The 6000-nt window shown below is 40.5% G+C and overlaps 1 long non-coding RNA gene across 1 annotated transcript in view; it reads left to right on the top strand.

The window, feature by feature from the left end:
* The first annotated feature begins 1912 nt into the window (after positions 1-1912).
* Positions 1913-6000, top strand: part of LINC00474 (long intergenic non-protein coding RNA 474) — a 37046-nt gene continuing 32958 nt past the window's right edge. The window contains exon 1 of the long non-coding RNA NR_024032.2: positions 1913-2097. This is a non-coding gene — a long non-coding RNA (long intergenic non-protein coding RNA 474). The remainder of the gene's footprint in view (positions 2098-6000) is intronic.

The following is a 6000-nucleotide window of genomic DNA, read 5'->3' as shown; positions in this document are numbered from 1 at the left end:
CCAACCCACAACCTAGATTAAACGTGGCAATGGCTTCCTACCACCCTTAAGGCATCTTCATCTCCTTGTTTTTACCTGCTAAGCTCTTTTCCTTGAGTAGATCTCATACTCTTGCTACAGCCTCTGCCTGAAGACCACTTTCTGCATTTAGCAATGGTTTAATCCATTCTGTAGGCTTATGTTTAGATGCCATCTGTCTTTGAGATATTCTTTGTATAACTACATCCCTAAGGAAATCAATTGCTCCCTCCTCTGTGCTCTTAAAGCACAAAGCTGTTAAAATACTGATAATTTTACGCTAACTAGGCTGCGCTAGATTGTAAGCTCACTGTGAGCAGGCAATGTTTCATTCATTTTTCCGTCCTATGGGTACAGCACACAGTATAATAAATTGCTATAAGGAACTAATAATAACAGTTATTGAATAAACAAAGAAATATATTAATAAACACTTAATTGTTCTTTTCAAATGTAACTGTCTGATTTTTTTTCTCTCTTTAATTCAAGTAGGATAGTTTCATATCTAAAAGAGATTTCTAAAATGGTACCCCATGGTTGGCAACCAGAGAGATAAAGGTCTGGCTCCTGGCCTCTTATATAAATTGTTGCACTGATTTTGAGAAAGTGAGTTAGCCTTTTGACACAACAGTTTTCTAATCTGTAAAATGGACACAATAATTTTATGAACTTATTTCACAGAGTCATTAAGAGGGTTTAATGAGATAATAGCTCTAAGACACTTAGCATAGTATCTGGCACGCAGTAAGTACTCAAAAATTATTTTTATTTTCTTCTCCACAAAGCCCTCCTTGCTTATGCCAAGCCTCAGTGATGCCTCTCTTTTTCTTTCTTGTGTGGATTTATTTACTTAATCAATATTAATTGAAGGTCCCATACTCATGACATATGCTTCTCTAAAGTGCTGTGAGATATATGTCTCACAATTATTCGCTGTCAATTAATATTTATTATTTATGTATTATTAGATTAGTTACATATATATCAGTGGAGAGGACCAGTGTTGCCCGTAGGAGCTTACTTTCTAGTATGGGAAATGAGATAAAATATACAAAATAAATAAGATATATAGAATACATGATGGAGGTAAGTGCTATGGAGAAAAAGAAAACACGAGAGGGAAACAGAAAATAAACGTTGGGATAGGATTTTAATTTTAAGAAAAGGGGTCAGGTACGTCTTTGCTGAGAAAGTCTCATCTGAGTGAAGACCTGAAGGAGATGTGGAAATCAGCCGTGTAGGTTTCTGGGGGACAGAATTTCAGACAGAGGGGACAGCAGGCAGGCTAGTGTGGCCAGAGCAGAGTGGCAGGGATGGGGGTGGGGTATAAGTGGTGAGTTCAGGGAGGGAACAGGGAGTATGGTCCTGTCAGTTGTTTTAAGGTCTTTGGATTTTACTCTGAATAAAACGAGAGGCCTTTGGAGAGCTGTCAGTTCCGGAACCACAAGTCTAACAGGTTTATTAGGATCACACTGGTGACTGAGTTAAGACCAGGCTGTATGGGGCAAATACAAAGGAAGAGCCTCCAAGAAGTAATCTGGGTGAGAGAAGACTGAGAGTTGCAGCAGGCTGGTCACAGGGCAGATGATGAGAAATTGCTGGATCCAGGATGTATTTGGGAGGTAACACAAACCAGTTTGCCATCAGATTGGGTGTGGGGTGTAATCAAAAGAGGCTTTTTGTTCCGAGCAACGGGAAAGATGAAGTTGCCATGAACTGAAATTGGGGAGTCCATCAGAGGAGTAGGTTTAATGGAGAAAAATGGGGACTTCAATTTTGAAAATGATAAGTTTGAGACACCCAAGGAGAGATAGCAAGTATGCTGTTGTATATATCAAGCTGAAGTTTAAAGAAGTGGTACAGAATAGAGGAAATTTGAGCTATTGGTATGCAGGTGGGATATGAAGCATGAGACGGAATGAGGTCACCAAGAGAGTGAATGTATATAAAGCAAAGAGGGTGTCCAAGGGCTGAGTTCTGAGATACTTCAATAGCAGAAGATGATGCTGAGAAGCAGAAGCCAGCTAAAGAGACTGAGAAAGTGCTGGTGGTGAAGCACCAGGAAAATCAACAGATCATGTAAGATGTCTCAGATGCCAAGTGAAGAAAGCATTTTAAGGACAAGGAGGCAGTCAACTGTATTATATGTTGCTAATCAGCAAACCAAGATGAGAATTGATGTTTGACTTTTGTGTTTAGCAATGTGGGTGTCAATCATTATAATAATTAGGTTTATATATAATAACCTTGATAACAACAATTTTGGTGGAGAGTGAAGGTGAAACTGTGATTTAAGAGTGATGAAGAGAAAATGAGTAGAAAGCTTATTCATCAGCTATGGGTTTTATACAAGTTACAGAACCTCAAATCCTCCCTCCCTCTGTTCCTCCCTCCCTCTGTTCCTCCCTCCTTCCATTTCTCCCTCTCCCACTCCCTTCCCTTCCCTTCCCTTCCTTTACCTTCCCTTCCCTTCCATCCCCTTCCCTTCCATCCCCTTCCTTCTTTCCTCCTTTCCCCAATCTGTAAAGCAGAATGATAGTATCTTTTTTATGTATGTAAATCATGACAATATATGATATGTCATCAATAAAAGTAGCCTCTTCCTGCTCTTTTAGGATCCTATGTCTTGTGTTCTCAGTGGCTGTGATAGTATTTGCACGAGTAGGTGTCCATTAAATGTCCATGGATGGAGACGAATTAGGTCCTTAATTCTGCTTCTGACCCAGGTGTCTGGTTATTTGTTTGGTGCAAACAACAAAGAGTTCCTGTTAAAGGTGATAGCTGAATGTTGGAGGCCACTACCAGCTTTTCAGGAAAGAAGCCTTTTGGCTCAGAATTTCATGGAGCTTCTGACTGTAAATAAAAATTGCATTGACTTCTGCTTGGAAGTGGGGATGGGAGGTCTGAGAGTAAGTGCACTCTGTCCAGGGCAGCCTCCTGCGGAAATGATTTCCAGAGCAGAATGCCAAAGTGCTTTCGTAAATGACTCTGGCTCACCCCTTTCTCTATCTTCTGCCCTGTGTATACAACATTTATAAAAATAAACAGTTGCTGGAGGCATTTGGGAGGAAGCCAAGGTGAAGCACCCAGCAAAAGAAACAGATACACCAGACAACTCAGAACTCCCAAGAACAGTATAAGTTTTCAGAGGAGGAAACAGAGGGACTAGCGGATGTTTGGGAGGATGGTGATAGGAGAGGAATGTATGAGTTTTAGAGTTTCCATTCTTTCCACTCTTGGCTTCTCTTTTCATGCACCATAATGTTATAAGTGAATGAGAGTGAATGAACTTCTCCACTGGACTGCATGATCCTTGAGGGAAGGGACCCTCAAATGAGTACTCATTTTTGGATTTGGGTTATTGATCCAAATATGATACATTTATCAAATACCTACTTCATGACAGGAACTCTGCTCCTACAACCACATTCATCATGCATTAGATGCTCCATAGTTAAATGAACATTCCTTCACCCTTAAGAGTTAGTACTGCATTTGCTCTACTGGGCGCAGTGAACATGTCATATCCTCATAAAAGCCAGATCTAAACTCCCACCATAGGCAGAATAAGGCTTTTCCTCCTGTAAACTTCATGGCTTTTCAGATTTCCCTCACTGAAAGATCTGTAATAGAAGCTCACTGAGTGTGAGGCTTGGCTTTGCTTACCTGTACACCCCACTGCCTAGAACAGTGCCAGGCATATAGTAGTTGCTATGGTCTGAATGTTTGTGACTCCCCCAAACTGCAAAATTCATGTTAGAATCCAACATGATACAATAGCATTAGGAGGTGAGGCCTTTTGGGAAGTTATTAAGTCCTTAGGGCTCTGCCCTCATGAATGGGATTAGTGCCCTTATAAAAAAGGTTCAAGAAAGGTATCTTGCCCCTTCCACCATGTGAGGATACAGAAAGTGCCATCTAAGAGGAACAGGCCCTCATCAGACACTGAATCTGCTAGTGCCTTGACCTTGGACTTCCCAGCCTCCATAAATATAAGCAGCAAAATCTGTTGATTATTAATTATCCAGTTTAAGCTATTAATATTTTGTCATAGCAGCCTGAAAAGATGAAGTCTGTAGGTATCCCATTAATATGAACAAATGATTAGTACCCAATTCCTCATTATTTTAAAGTCAAATATTTTGAGTCTGTCTCTATTAACTAGGCTGTGAACACTTTGATGGGAGAGGTGGTGCTATTTTCTTCCTAATTTTTCCATTTCATGGCATACAGAAGTGACTTAGTAAATGGTAATGGGATAAATGTATAACCAAACCTTCATTGTTTTTTATGAGTTTCTTTTAAATTATTCTTTGCTCTATAAAATCTAACATGTAATTTTATTACATAAAATGTGTATTACAAAAGAGATACAGTTAAAGGCTCTTGCTGAGATAAGGGTACTACAGGGAGTGGTGGAAGGATGTGGTATGTGTGGTATGACCCAGACTGATGCCACCAACGAGAACGTCAGAGGACGGGACATGAAAGCTAAAGAATGAATTTCAGTACATTGTGTAGTCAAGTGATAAGTAGTCCTGAATTTGGCAAGGGGTGAAGAAAGAGGTGAGAATAGGGAGATGTTTATTTGGACAAAGAAAACAGCATTTTTTATAGCATTTAAGTGATAAAGTGAAAGGAAAATAATAGAAGTTCAGGAAAATGATAGTAGTTCAAAATGGCCAAAAGGTAGATTGCAGGTGGGCAGGGGCATCCAGTGGAGAGAAGGCACAGAAGTGAGGAAGTCAGGGACCATGTCAAACAAAGCCCTGTTATTCATGAGCAGGTTAGCCTTTGCCCGCTTTCTTTCCTCAATGCTGAATCACCTATTTTCTGCCCTGATCTTCATAAACACACAGGGGCATTAGTTAGATAGGTAATCTACTAGAAAGACTAATGAGCTGATATCAAGAGAAACTAAGTCAGTTGAAAATATCTGGAAATATCCGGTTGGTAGAACTGGACCTAAATTCAAAATCTCCACACTTTGTTGTTGTTGTTGTTTTTTTTTTTTTTTTTTTTTTTTTAAGACGGAATTTTACTCTTGTTGCCCAGGCTGGAGTGCAATGGCGTGGTCTTGGCTCACTGGAACCTCCATCTCCCGGGTTCAAGCGATTCTCCTGCCTCAGCTTCCCAAGTAGCTGGGAATACAGGTGCTTGCCACCAGGCTTGGCTAATTTTTTGTGTTTAGTAGAGACGGGGTTTCACCATTGTGGTCAGGCTGGTCTTGAACTCCTGACCTCAGGTGGTCCACCCACCTCGGCCTCCTAAAGTGCTGGGATTACAGGCATGAGCCACCATGCCTGGCCAATCTCCACACTCTTAAATCCAAATGGCAGCAGTAGGAATGGAAACTAGATAACATCTTTTATGCCAATTCTAATTAACTGGTAGTGGATGTCTGTAGTCTGTTTTCAGTCTGTGATCCAACTGTGCTCTAAAGAAATGAGAACTCAGATTGATTCACCGTGATGCCTCGGGAGGGCGAGGGGGAAGAGCAGGTAGCCCCACCTGTCATGCATCCCGCATGCCCTGCAACAGCATTGTGCAATTCTTAGTTACACCACGCAGACCTCTATTTCTCGGTGAATTCTTTCTAAATGATTATGGTTCTTCATTTATCCCCTTTTTTTGTTGGAACACTTCTTCACTATGACGCATACCAGAGATTTTCCTAGAAATCCAGAAAACTGCTAGTGTGGGCCAGTCAGGCTAGTGATTACGAAATTCTCCAAATTCAAAAATGGTTCATTTGAATCAGCCAAACCAAAGAAAACTCTTACCACCAATTCCCTGCCACAGATTTTTCAAGCTAAAGTGAATTAGGGTTATCCAATTACACATATATTAACAGTGATTACTACCTTAAGATGACTGCATTTCATTGCCATAGGAAGCATTTTAGTTATTCAAGACTTAGATATTGAAAAATGTATGCAAGCTAAGGTGTCAACCCTCCCATAGTATGATGTTGGTGATATT

This window comes from Homo sapiens, chromosome 9 (assembly GCF_000001405.40).
Source record: "Homo sapiens chromosome 9, GRCh38.p14 Primary Assembly".
Classification (NCBI taxonomy): domain Eukaryota; kingdom Metazoa; phylum Chordata; class Mammalia; order Primates; family Hominidae; genus Homo; species Homo sapiens.
The sequence above is the reverse complement of the archived record's forward strand: the minus strand, read 5'-3'. Positions and strand labels throughout refer to the sequence as shown.